Source organism: Homo sapiens, chromosome 20 (assembly GCF_000001405.40).
Source record: "Homo sapiens chromosome 20, GRCh38.p14 Primary Assembly".
NCBI classification, from domain to species: domain Eukaryota; kingdom Metazoa; phylum Chordata; class Mammalia; order Primates; family Hominidae; genus Homo; species Homo sapiens.
Window position 1 is genome coordinate 9,165,049 of NC_000020.11, and position 14,800 is coordinate 9,179,848.

The following is a 14,800-nucleotide window of genomic DNA, read 5'->3' on the forward strand; positions in this document are numbered from 1 at the left end:
GTGCCCACTCTGTATGATATATTGGCTGAATGTTCATCTCTGAGGTCTGACAGTCGGCTTTTGAGAGCAAATGGATGGCCACAGTACAGGCACGTGCCCGCTATAGCAACTGCCAAGGTTCAAAACAAAAAGTCCAGCTTCTCGAGGGCACAAAACATGCTGTTTCTTATATGTTCTAGTGTAATGCAAAGCATATACTAAATATCCACTAAATACCTGTAGGGTGTGCTTCCATTCGCTATACTTTCATTTGGGAAAGCTTTATAATAGTGTGAAATCTAGTACTGATCACACTGTAATTTTTAGAGATAGTAGTACAAGTTGGGACAGATGGGGAGCCTAATAATTTAATGATTTTACCAAGTGCGTTGAAAACTTGTCACAATATCAGCTTGGTGGATTAAAAATTGGCAAATGAAATCTGGAGTTTTTGGCATTTTCCAAATCTTTCTCACAAAATACAATTCTCTCTGGATGCCTCTCAAATACAGGGTCCCATGATTAACTAAATGTGGGAGGCACAGCATAAAATCTCTTCTAACAGATTTATAATGAAAATAAGCATACTAAAAACTTGGAGAAATCCTGCAGAATAGAATTCTACTTACATTAGTGTGGATTGGCCATCCTAAAACATCCTGGAACCTTGTTTTGCAGAACATTTTACATTCTCTGAGCATTTTGGGAAATGCCAAATTTTTTATTGTAACGCTGTCACCGATGGATGGGTAAACCTGGGGCTGTTTGTGTGTGTGTGTGTGTGTGTGTGTGTGTGTGTGTGTGTGTTACCATGTTAATTTGATGTAGAATTAAAATCCTCTTGAGTTATACCAACAGGACAAAAGTCTCAACATTTTACTATCTGTGCAAGGCAGATAATCTCTAGATCTCATTTTAGACAGTAGTTCTTAATTATTTTTCTTTATATCAGTGCTACTTGTAACTTAAAAATTTTTAAAGTTTTATTTCCTTTCTTGAACTCTGAAGGTATTATAAAGGAGAAAAACAGTAAAAGATGCCAGCCCAACTGGGGAGGTTGGAACAGAGATTATGAATATATTATAACCAAGTTACTACATTTCCTGAATTGTGGGCAATCAGTTGTGCCTTTCTTTCAGTTTATATCCTGAATTTTTTGTAGACTTCAGTATAGAAAAAACAAAGATTTGTTTTAAGGAAGAGTTCAGGTGTGGCCTTCCAATTTTACTCTTCCTATTATAAACAAACACCCAACCTCTGATCAGGTGGCTCTTCTTGTTATGTTTGGGGCCTCTTACTCATTCCCGGGCAGTGTTCCTCGGCAATATGCCTGTGACAAGCGTTTGCTGTATTTGTTGTTCGACTTAGGGTAGTTGAAAGAGTCTCTCTCAGCCACTCTCTCTGGATATTTTGTTGTGGCTGTGGGCACTGTTTGCCCAGCCTCTCACTTTGTAGCGGAGGGGTGGGACTCTGCGTGAAAGGACCAGCGTTATAGTCCCTGGCTTCTCCGGCTAATTCATCCCGAGGCTCCTGCCCCTTCCCATTCTGGAAGGGGCGAGCTTATCCTAGACCTGTGACTGCCTCTGAAGTTCTCCACCTGCCTCAGGCGTGCTCTCCAGTGCCTGTTTCTGACTGAGTGAGGTTGAAATCCTACTGACTCCTTTTCAGGTAAAAAAGCATACTGAAAAATGGCTTTAGGAATAGCAGTTAAGATTTATATAGAGGGGGCAGTTTTGTTAAGTTTATGGTTTCTGTTGTTTGTAGAGGGCTATCACGGTTTTATTTTCATGGTCCCTGAAGGTAAGCAGATATAGCTGTATTTAGTGATAGAAAATACTATATTGCTTAGAGAACCCAAACTTCCCATGAAAATTGTTATATTTATTATTACTTTTTTCTTTAGACTTTCTTATAAGAGAGAAATTGAAGACAAAATTGTGCCAACAAAGTATATTAGACACTGTGATTTTGTGGTAATTTTGGCATCAATTAGATATTTATTTTAATATCTCTTTTTATAAAATTTTCCTAAACCTAACTGTAACTCGAATAGAGTTTTCCATAAGACATGTATAGGTATGATTTGCTTGGCTGGTAGGATTTCTTGGTGTGTTTTATTTATCACACTCCATATTTTAAAAATTAACTGTGTGTGGGGACAGGGGATATATGGGAAATCTATGTACCTTCTGCTCAGTTTTGCTATGAACATAAAACTGCTCTAAGAAATGAGGTCTATTAAAAAAAAACAGTCCCTTGATAATACTTTCTGTGAATACTTAAATATAATGTGATAAAGCACAGATGATGTTAAACTTTTTTTATAAGGCATAAATTTTAAAAAGCTAATTCATTTTTCTTTTTCATAATTAGTAATGAAAATATGGGACATATTTCAGTATTTTGTTTTGATTGCCACTTTTTTTGTTCAACCATATTCAGATGGGTAAAATGATTATTTTCAAGTCTCTTTTCCTAAATAAGAAGTGAGAATAAAAATATACTTTGAACATGAACGCGTACTTATTCATTGTCTTGGAAAGTTAATGAGCCATTATGTAAAATTCCTTTCTGAAATCAGAGAGTAAAAATTAACAACTTAGAAAGTTGGTTTGTGTATTTGGTAATTATGTTTCTAAAACCCATTTTTTCATATAATATGCACATGTTCATGGACAGAGGAGTGATGCTGAAGTATGAAACTTGTACTTAGTACCGAATAATTGGCTTTGAATAGCTTTAGAAACATATTTCATATTTGCGTACTTTATTTTTTCAGTTAGGCACGCCTTAAACACATGTAGTTATGAAACAAACGGTGAAACCATGACTAGCCACAGATATTTGAGCATAAACAATCTTAATTATAATGACTGAAGTAAACAAAGCATGACCATTAAAATAAACTTATTTTCGACAGATTTATACATGAATAATATGCAACATTCTATGGCAATTTTTAAGGGTGCATGAAGAACTTTCACAGCTGTCTTTTATAGCTGAAGCAGGGACAGTGGCCTAAGAATTCCTTTGATAGTTATTACCTGTTGGAAAAAAACCACTTTATGTGCTTTTTACATTAAAGAGCAATTACATATAAAGTGATGCACTCTCCAAAGATACAGAGAATATTTCCAGACACATTAAAGCATATGAAACTTTCCAAATTTTCAACACAAGTTCAACTGTGTTTTATCTTTATAGACTCTCCCGGGGCTTTGGGGTAAGTTATCTTATACAGATGGAGGCTAGAACTGAAGCATTATAGAGCAGGAGAAGGTGCTTCCAGGAGACAAGGTGTGCAAGGCTTAATGTTGCTTACCTGTTTACCTGCACCTGTTTACCTGCACCTGTCTTCTCTGAAGGTGACGCTGTTGATGAAGCTGCTGTTGAGAAGACCCAAGTAATTGAGACTCGGTCTGTGGGCTTGTTATCGGATCACTCCACTGTTTTCCACACTTTAATGTGCGTGTGAATCATTTGTGATTTTGTTAACTGCATATTGTACCACAGCAGGTGTGGGGTGATGAGGCCTGAGATTCTGCATTGCTAACAGGCTCCCAGGTGCTGCTAATGCCACCATTTCAGGGACCACACTTTGACTAGCGAGGAGCTACACCACCAGATACCAAATAACTGCTCAGGTCATTGTTTTTCACTTAATGGACATTGTCTGTCCATAGTGGGCAGTCAGTTTGCGAAGCTCATGACTGAGATGTGATTGAGGGGAATCGACTAGCTGGTGACACTGGCCGCTTTGTGGCTGATATAACTGATGATGTGTGGCTTGTTTTCTCTGGTAGAAATGTGTGGGATTGTCACCTCTGCTGAACTTCCACAGCAGTCTTTTCCAGGACTCGTCATCCTTGGCAGCCCCAACTCCTGCCTGTCAGCCCAAGCAGCCACCAATTAAGAAAGCGTTCAAGCTCAACACCCACCTTTCAAGCTCAAGTCTCCCTTTGCGGTTGCTACAACCACCAAGGGCTCATCCTCTTCTCCTGTCTGCCCTCATGTCCTGCCAATCAGGAGCCTTTTAAATGCATTGAGTTTGATTTGCATCTTGAACCTGAGTCTTCTGTGGCATCCTCTGCCCAATCTGGCTTGCAGGTGCTCCACTTTAGCTCCCTGTGAATTTAAATATAGAAACTTTATTTGTGAGGAGCTGCTTCCTTCCTCTCACTTAACACACAATTTTCCAATGTAATAATCCAGTTTTGGGCATTTGATTTTCATAAAAACTTTCCATGTCTCAGCTTGTGAGATATGTGTCTTGAGTTCTCAATGTAAACACTTTGCCAGTCTGTAATTCCAGCACTCTGGGAGGCCGAAGCAGGAAGATTACTTGAGGTCAGGAGTTTGAGACCAGCCAGGCCAACATGGTGAAACCCCATCTCTTAAAAAAAAAAAAAAAAATTAGCCCGGCGTGGTGGTGCACACCTGTAATCCCAACTACTCTGGAGGCTGAGGCAGGAGAATCGCTTGAAACGGGAGGCAGAGGTTGCAGTAAGCTGAGACCGTGCCACTGCGCTCCAGCCTGGGTGACGGAGCAAGACTGTCTAATAAATAAATAAATAAATAAATAAATAAATAAATAAATACTCTGCCAGGGTTCTAGATACCATGTGAATTGAACTCCTGAAGGGAAGGAAGTGGGCAGTGGGGTGTTGGTGTGATACTCCAAATTCTTCAGTGATTCCTTCCCATTGTACTTTCCTCCACAACATTGTTTGTGAAAATTTCAAACATATAGTAATTTGAAAGAATTTTACAATGAACAGCTGTGTATTCACCTCCTAGATTCTACCATGAACACTTTATTGCCTTTATTATCTGTCCATCCACTTATCCCTCTGTCTTTCACTGTCTTATTTTTGATGGATTTAAAAATAAACTGCAGGCATAGTTTGTATATTCCAGCATGCTTATTATTAACTGGAGTTCAATATTTCTTATCAGTTATTCATACGAAATTTCTATTCGATGAAATGCACACATCCTTACTTGTACATAGCTTGAACTTTCAACAAGTGGACGCACCCAGATAAATCAGTCCTGGCAAGATATAGAACATTACCACCACCGGAGAAAGTTCCTGCATTCCTTCCCCAACCTTTACGTTCTTTTTTGAGTCTCTCCAAAGAAGGATTTACTGATTGCAAGTGATCTGTGGTTAGTTTATTTCTTCAAAATTGTGCTTTGATCAGTTTTATTTCATGCAAGTTACTTTCATACTTAGGAATGCATGTTGTACAACACTTTCTTACAAATTAATATTTAGTTTGTTAGGACTAATTTATTTCTGACAGAACTAAAGTTTTAACAAGAGTAGCTTAGATTATCTGTTTTTTACTTGGTACAGATGTTTTCCAATGACTTTATTGATTCTTATCATGTTTTATGAGATGGCTGGTGAGATAACATAAATAGAGATGCAAAGACATGGAGGTAAACCATGTTCTGAGAGGTTCTTTGGGCTGACACACCTGGTTTCTCTGGATATAAAGAAAAAAAACTCCTCTTTCAGGCAGCTGTTTCCTACGAAGATTGTGTTTGAGGATACAGTAACCTCATCATTTAGCCTGAAATATAAGTTGGTTCACACTGCTTCTTCAGAAACAGAAAGCTCTATCCTTGTAATAATGATAATTCATGACATTCCATGTTTGTGGGCAGTAGTTTCAGTCAGCTTTACCTTCAGGTACCTAACAAGGTCTGGGGTTGATTTGGATCTGCCCTGATGTGGGTTCACAGAGTCGGTAAAACCTCAGCTATCCAGAAAGCTAATTGTCTGAATTGCCAGACTCTCAAAATGGCCTGGAGGCAGAAAGTTAAAATGTACCACAATCTCTTTGGTCATGAAGAAGCAGTTTTTGAATATCTAACATAGCGGTAGGGATATGGTCAAAATGAATGAGTTATACCAGCACCATAAAGTTGTTTAGGGGCTGTAAAGTGCTCACATTGAGTTCTTTGACGGTACCATGAAACTCCCATTTTTGGTTTGCTCCTTTTCACAAATCACTACTTCAGTGGAATATGAGACTCATCTCTGAAAACTCACACAGCTCCTTAAGCTCTTATTCACACCTTGACATAGTTTTTTTGTGTGTGTGTGAATATGATTTATAAACGATGGGTTTATTCAGGTATTTTCTGTAAGAAATCCACATTGTATAACTTGGAGTTACCTATCATATGGTAGGCGCTCAGAAGCTTCTTTTACAGTCCCCTTTAGAATGCTACAAAGAAATATGTAGTGATTTTCAAAGGTACATCATTTAGTAGACAGTTTACGTTTCCTTGCTCACAAAAGAATGCAAGAGAATATTCCAGTAGTTTCAAAAAGTACAGTATGCAATCCTTAGAACCAAACTGCACAAATATTCAGCAGCTGTCTATTCAAAAATTAAAACCAGAGACCATATTTTGTTAGGGCTAATGTATAGTTGTCAAACTATAGACCAGAACAACAAGAATCTGTATGTGCATATTTATTCTAATCTTGTTTTCCAAGTTACTTAATTTATAGTTGCTTTTCTCTGAGAGGAAAGGACAGAACAAGTATTGCAAACACTTGCTACAGTCAGTTTTGGCAAAAAAATAACTCAGAGAGCCATGTTTTAAGAAAAATAAATTCAGGTTATAAATTTAAGCATCATTCTACTGGGTTGCAACAGTATCTGAGACTTCTACTTTGAATATTTCATCTGATGATGTAATTGGAGGCGGCAGAAGCATATTATCTGCATTTATTTGTGCAGTTGTGTATTATGTAAGTGGAGAATTGTGGGAAATAATGACTATTTCCCCCCTCCTCATAATTTTAAGCCTCAATGGAATGGAAAGAAATATCAATCGATCTTCCATATTTGGCAGAGTGCTTGCAGAGGCCACTGTCTCTGCAAACATGATAAACCTCATTTTCCCCTTCCCCTGTCAACTTGTCAAGAACAGAATTAACAGGAGGATTATATTAAGGCAAAATAATTTGGGGTTTTCTGTTTTGTTTTTGTCTTTGTTTTTAAAAGTTACTTCCATGTGTCTGGCCATGTTTCAGTAATAATGTTTGGCACTTTAATAATTCCTTTCATCTGCAAAGAGCAAATTGTTTTTCTGAAATAATTTCATTTTGTAGAATGACTCCATAGAGCAGGTTGACCCCATCCATGATCTAGAATATAAGAATTCATCATATAACAAAGGACCACCATTTAATGCCAGTTTTAGTATGTTTTCAGCTTCAACTAAAAACTTAAGATTCCATAATAAGAGAGAAGTCACCAAGCCAATTCCCTGTTGAGTGGAATATCTTACTCATTTTCTACATACATCCTACCTATCCTTGAAAGTTAAGCATAAAACCTCACCTTGCTGAAGCTTTCCTCACTGCTATAAGTCAAATCCCTGTCCATCTCTCCCTTTCCTGAGTGCATATTGCATTGGCTTATAAACCTTTTGGTGTTACTCTCCTGTGTAGATAAAGACTGTTAATTACTCTCTAATTATATTTTATGTATTAGTCTTCCCATGTCTTCCAATGTAAGTCCTCTTTGCAGAAACACCATCTTAACACTTATTTTGCATTTCCATTCGCATTTCCTTTTCTTGTTTAGTGTTTTGGAAAACTGTCATTTAATAAATATTGTTGGCCGAGTGCCTGAATGTTAAGAGAGGCCACTGTCTCTGCAAACATGATAAACCTCATTTTCCCCTTCCCCTGTCAACTCGCCCTAAGAACAGAATTAACAGGAGGATTATATTAAGGCAAAATAATCTGGGGTTTTCTGTTTTGTTTTTGTCTTTGTTTTTAAAAGTTACTTCCATATGTCTGGCCATGTTTCAGTAATAATGTTTGGCACTTTAATAATTCCTGTTATCTGCAAAGAGCAAATTGTTTTTCTGAAATAATTTCATTTTGTAGAATGACTCCATAGTGCAGGTTGACCCCATCCATGATCTAGAATATAAGAAAAATCTCACTCTGAAGTTCAGTTTCCAAAGACTTGGGAACAGATGATGAACTATGCTTTGCTTGCAGTGCCTCCTGGCTGTAAATATAGGAGCTCTGTCAACTGCTGAACTCTTGGTTGGCCTTGCAAAGCTTTGGTGTGGTCTGTGGTCTGGGGTGTAGCGTTGAGCCAGTAAAAGGCATTGCATTGTTTTATCCATCCTGTGTCCTTAGTTAGATGCATCGCATGATTGGACCTACTCAATAAGAAAATAAAGAGCAGTAGTCAATGTTTTGACCATACTTTTGGTCCTGCACAGTGTTACTAGTTGCCAACTTTATGCAAACAGATTTACCTCATCTCCTGATAAATTAGAAGATCTGGCCACATGCAGACTTGTGTTCTTCCTTTAGAGGAGACACACGCTCTCCAGTTCCACCCAGCATCCCAAGACATCTGAATTAGTTTCCTGTTGTTGCTGCTGTAACAAACTGCCGTAAACTTAGTGGCTTAAAGCACAGATTTATTATCTTACACTTCTTGATGTTGGTAGTCAAATAGGCCTGCAGGACCGTGTTTTTTCTGGAGGTTCTGGGGGAGATAATGTATTCCTTGCCTTGTCCAGCTTCTTGAAGTTGTGCACATCCCGTGACTATGGCTGAATCCCTCTGAACTCTGTTTCTATTGTCACATGTCTTTCTTTGATCCTTCTTCCTCTCTCTTTCATTTTTAAAGGATTTTTGTGATTACATTGAGCCCACTCAGATAATACAGTCACCTCTCTATCTCAAGATCCTTAATTTAATCTTGTCTGCAAAGCCCCCTTTGCTGTGTAAGGTGACTATTCACAGGTTCCATGTTCCACACCCCAAATTCACTTCCCCACTTCCACCTTCAGGGAAGCATCTAATTCCTTCAGGCTGTGACCTCTACAGTGCTGAGGAACTGGCACTGATTTCTATTTCCCTGGAGTTGGATATTTATCCACCAAATAAGATGAGAATATTTATTTAAAAAACTGATTCTCCCCCTTCACAAATTACCGTATCTAGGTATATCTTATTTTTAAATGCTATATTAAATAATCGCACAAAAATAAAACAACTCTCCTTTATTTCTTGGCTTGGTTTTGCTGCTACTGCTGCTGCTTCTTGTTTTGTTTTGTTTTGTTTTTTTCTCCTGGAGACAGGGTCTCACTGTTGCTGAGGCTGGAGTTCAGTGGCGTGATCATGGCTCACTTCAGCCTCCATCTCCCAGCTTCAAGGAATCCTCCTCCCTCAGCCTCCCTAGTAGCTAGGACAAAGGGCACGTAACCATGCCTAGCTAATTTTTTTTTTATTTTTTATTTTTGTACAGACAGAGTCTTACTATGTTGGCCAATCTGGTCTCAAACTCCTGGGCTTAAGAAATCCTCTACCTCTACCTCCCAAAGTGCTGGGATTACAGGTGTGAGCCACTGCACCTGGCCTATTCTTCTTTTTTTTTTTTTTCTTTTCAATTTTACCTGGCAATATTGTATATTTCAAGCCTTTTTTACATTGTAGTTTTCTTTTCATCTACATTTCCTACTAATTAAGATGTTTCTTCCCTCCTTGGTCCCTTGACTATTAAGCTCTTTAAAGCCTAATTATTTTCCCCTGGGAAATTGCTGCTGCTATTGCTATTTGTGGTTTTCTTCCTTGTTTTCCAACTTTTAATATAACTTCTTGTTAATCACTAGTCCTTCCTTCACAATTGTCTTATCTTTGTCATCTGACACTGGAAAATGATATACATTTTGAACTTATGACTGTCATTTATCAGCAGAACATAGTGTAATATTCATGTTTGCTGATAAGAGAGTGGCAAAATTAATGTCAGAAATACAGAAGCTACTTAGTAATCTAAGAATTGAGAAAAACTCATCTATCCACAAATTATTTGAGGCAGGAACAATTTGTCCGTCTTTGTTTCTAAGAATCATGACATTTTCTCTTTTGACCTGTCTTATTGTTATTAATACTGATGGTGTAGCTAGTGAAATAAATAGATTTCTTTTTAGTTGATTCATAGATATGCCATTCCAGAACTATAGTAGGACATAGGTCCAGAAGACCGGGTATACAGCATTGGTTGTCACCATCAGCATCAGCATTACCTGGGAATTGCTGGAAATGCACGTTGTCAGACCCCACCCCAGACCTACTGGATCAGAAGCTCTGGGGATGGGGCCCAGAAATCTATGTTTTAACAAGCTCTCCAGGAGATGATGAAGTGCAATCAAGTTTAAGAAACATCAGTGTTTTGTATTGTCACACTAGGGTGCTGGGGAGAAGGGTGAACCCTTCTAGGTCTCATTCTCTAGATCAGTTTATGCATTCATTTGTTTAGCTTCCAGGGATGTCATTTCCAATAAACTACATTCTCCAAATATTTTCAGTTCCGATAAACAGTGCACTAAAGATTCTCAGTTCCAATAAATTGTCCAAGTAACCTTATTTCACCATGGAAAGAATAATCTGTGGATTGGCATCAGGAAGAAATAGTCCTTCTTAGTTTAAGAGTCTACCCATACTGCTTAAAGCCCAAGTTGTGCCAAATTAAATACAAATGTTATGCTGGAGTGCACCAATTTATTCCTCTTAGGTCCGTGTCTCATCCATAAAATTATGGCAGTTCCAATAAGTGATATGATATCAACTCACTGAAATCTTTAAAATGAATAGACAGCTCACTCTATAGAAAAAAACTCTACTCCCTCCCCTCATCTGCCTCCTGCAGAGTCATTCAAAGTAAACCCCACATCTACCACATAATCCCATATTCATAGCAAATCAGATCATCCCTGACATTATCTCCAAATTTGGTGAAAGGTCCATTGGGCCTGTTAAAATATCTTAACTTTATTGAACTATAATTTACACGGAATGATATGGATCCATCTTTAGTGCTCATTTTGCATTGCGTGAGTCTTAGCAAATGTGTACACCACCACCACAATCACAATTTAGGACCTTTCTGGCACCCCAGAAAGCTTGTTCCAGTCTTCTTGAAGTCCATTTTTCCCAACCCCTTGGCCCCAGGCAACTACTAGTCTGCTTTCCTGTCACTTTTAGATTCTTTTTGCTCTCTCTGGGATTTCATACAAATGGAACTATGTATTCTTTTTATCTGGCTTTTTTCTTTCAGAATTATGTTTCAGAGATTCCTCCATGCTATTGTTTCCTCTATAGCTTTTTTACATTGCTGAGTAATATTCAATTGTGTGCACATACTACCACTTATTTACCTGTTGATGGGCATGTGTATATTTCCAGTGTCAGGCTGTTAAGAGTAAGGTTCCTATGAACATTTGTGTACAAATATTTGTGTGAACATGTTTTTATTTCTTTTGGGTAAATAAGAATGGAATGGCTGGGTGAGGTGGTAGACGCATGATCAGATGTGTAAGAAACTGCCAAATTGGTTTATAAAATGGTTGAACTATTTTCATTCCATCCAGCAGTATCTGAGTATTTTCACTAGGCCATTTTTACATGTATTATCAGACAAATAGAAAAAAACCTTAATTTTATGTTGATATCTACTGCATATTTATTTACATTATGCACACATATGTAAATGTATATACATACACACAAACAGGGAAATGTATACATATTTTATTATATCATATGAAGAAGCACCAGTTTTCAAAGTAAAATATAAGATCTTACTTTATGCATAAAATTCCAACCCATGAGCATATACACAAAACCCTTAAACTACATATAAGTAATTTCTGTGTTTTCCTTAGTGTTTGTTTACTTTAGTCATTTGCTGGCCATTACTGACAGTCAAATAGCAAACTTTTAAGAAAAATAATAGAAACTCTAACATGAGGAAACTGTTAGAAGCTTTTTTCCCTCTGACTTGGGAAAAGATAACTGCCACAATTTTGGGGCTGTGACTTCTGGTATTGTATCATGCAAAGTTTAAGAACTTCTGGGATAAGCAGTGGGCAAAGGGAGTGCAAATGGAGGAAACTGAGAAAGAATGATTATATAAGGAGCAACAATGATGGACTGGTGGCGAAGAAAGAAAGATTTTTCAAGGAGGGGTGGTTGGAACTTGGAAATCAAATAAGGAATCAAATGAAGATGGAACCCATGGCTGTGGCCCCATGGAGACAGAAAAAGTCAGATTTATACACAGGTCATTGTGACACTAAGCAGAATGTGAAAAAATATATCCAATAGAAATAAAAGCAGCATGTTAGTAGGGGCAGGAGAGCAGAGTAATAAAAATAACCTCGTCTCTATATATGAAATGCTGGAATTGCTGAATAGTGTTCCTGGAGTGTGGGAATAAACGATGTGGTTGAATGGGTTTGGGTTTGTTTTACAGATTTTATCCTAAAGATATGATAACTAATTAAACTACTGCTGTTAATTTGTGTCGAATACCAAGCAGAGCCTCGGGACTGGACTGAGACAGGGCCAAGGTGCTGGTATAAATTTCAGTGACTCATCTCTTGTGTCTAAAATAGCGGTAGGCTTGGGGGCAAAGTATAATCAAGGGAGGAAGTCATTTTGACACATGTTCCCCTTGAAAGCAACTTAGAACCAATGTAAGTAATTCAGTTTCTCAAGCTAGTGTTGGAAAAGGGGTGTAGATGGATAAGGGTGGGAAATGGAAAGTGAGCTTGCATCAAGTCATGAAAGACATTGTGTTGTATGCAAAGACGTTTTGATTTGATCCTACTTGTTTTCAAGATGACTTTAGGCATACACTTGGGCCTAAATGAAAATATTCTAATGGAATACATGCAAGGGCTCAGCGATTCTTAAGGGATTACTTTCCATGTTTTAAACTTTTACGTATACCCTTTCTTAAAACTGATCTGCCTAACACCTGCCTGTCCTCATCTCATTTTGTAGAAGGAAGATACTTATCTCATCTTTCCAAAATATTAATATGGTACATTGTCCTATGGTATAAAAACATTCCAAGTGCTAAACAGAAAAACACCGTGTTCTGCAACAAAACTGTGCTTAAAACATATTTGTATCATCAGTTGATAAATCGTTAAAAATAATTTTGGCCAGGCCAGGTGGTTCATGCCTGTAATCCCAGCACTTTGGGAGGCTGAGGCCAGTGGATCACCTGAAGTCAGGAGTTCGAGACCATTCTGACCAACATGGTGAAACCACGTCTCCACTAAAAATACAAAAGCATTAGCTGGCTGTGGTGGCGGGATCCTGTAATCCCAGCTACTTGGGAGGCTGAGGCAGGAGAATTGCTTGAATCTGGGAGGCGGAGGTTGCAGTGAGCTGAGATTGCACCACTGTACTCCAGCCTGGGCAATAGGAGTGAGACTTTGTCTCAAAAAATAAATAAATAAATAAATAAAAATAATTTTGAATTTGGATCACCTTCTGTGGTGGCATAAAACTCAAAAGGAGTTCAGAGATTGAAACTTTTCTTAGGGCAAAAACATTTTATCAGCACTTATGTGAAGAAAAATGAAAAACTGGAATAAAATTGATGGTAAAACTTTGTTATTTTAGCATTAAGTAATATTCATAGATGTATGGATTAATTTTTTAAAAGCCCTATCCATTTTATCAAAAGATATATTTCAAGTAAAGTTTTATATTTAATAATTACTAAAATTATATTAATATTTATGATATTTATGTGGTTTTTGTCAATTGCCTACCAGTGAAAACTTTAGTATAACTTAATTAAAATACATTATTTCACCCTTAGGGGCTAAATTCAAAGTAAATTTAAACTTAAAATTCTAAATTATGTATATATTTTGTTGTATATAGGGATATATGATAGATCAATAAAATACTTTTAGCCACAAAAATGTATTCATTAGGATAAAATTTTGCAGGGGAGGTAGAAAAGAAATAGAAAAAAGGCATTATAAAACATAAATGTTAAGTGTGAACTTGCTTATTTTTAAATAATTTTGGTGTTTACATTCTAGATACATTTAGGTATATCTAACAGCTATTATGTTTAAATTGTCAACATTTAGAACATTCTAGAAATTATATCTTTAACAACCCTTTTGAACTTATGATAAAAAATGAAGATAACTTAAAATTGACTTTTGGTGAGTTTTTCTAGATTTGTCTAGAGGGGTATAGGCACAGATTTTTTGAGGACCACAATTATGGGTAATGGGATATCACTGAAGGATTTTGAATAGGGGACTGTTTGATAAGATTGGTGGCTTTGAAAGGGTATTTTTCCATTGTGCAGGTGGATAGGGTGGCACATAGAGGTTGGGGTGATGGTAAACCAGGAACAAGTAAAACAGTGAGGAGAAGAGAGAGGGAGAGTTCAAAGCATGAAAGGGAGCAGGAGACTCAATATTGCTGGCTTCAAAGGTGAAGTAATAGGGCCATGAGATTCCTTGGCTCATGGCCCCATTACTTCAAGGAATGTGGGTGGCTTCTAGAAGCTTGAATGACAATGAAATGGATGATTCCTCTAGAGCCTCCTTAAAGGAAAGAAGCCTTGTTCCCATCTTGATTTTAGAGGTGAGATCCATGCTGCATTTCTGATCTACAGAACTGTAAGATGACATATTTGTGTTGTTTAAAGCCACTAGTTTGTGAATTTTATTACAGGAGCAATAGAAAACGAATACAGCAGATTTACCCAGGTTTTCCACTGAGGAAGGAGATGAGTCATTTGATACTGAGTTAAGTATGCCAAAGGTTGGCAGTCTAGACTTGTGGGCATTTTAGCCTCTTTGAGTACATGCTTGTTTTAGTGAATGAGAGAAAGCTGTTATGAAGGAACATTTTATATGAACTTGCTTGTTTTCATTTCTCTACACCTCACTGTCCTCTTCCTCAAAGCTAGGGGTTAGAATAGATTATCTCAGGTTC

General features: G+C 37.4%; 1 protein-coding gene across 11 annotated transcripts in view; it reads left to right on the plus strand.

Moving 5' to 3' along the window:
- PLCB4 (phospholipase C beta 4) overlaps positions 1-14,800 on the plus strand; it is a 412,131-nt gene that overhangs the window by 96,371 nt on the left and 300,960 nt on the right. Inside the window, exon 1 of one of the 11 annotated variants that reach the window (XM_006723569.3) lies at positions 1,280-1,647. The exons of the other annotated variants lie outside the window; for them this stretch is intronic. The gene's annotated coding sequence lies outside the window, so the exon portion shown is untranslated. Of the gene's footprint in view, positions 1-1,279; positions 1,648-14,800 lie in introns of those variants that run through there. 11 annotated transcript variants of the gene reach the window in all.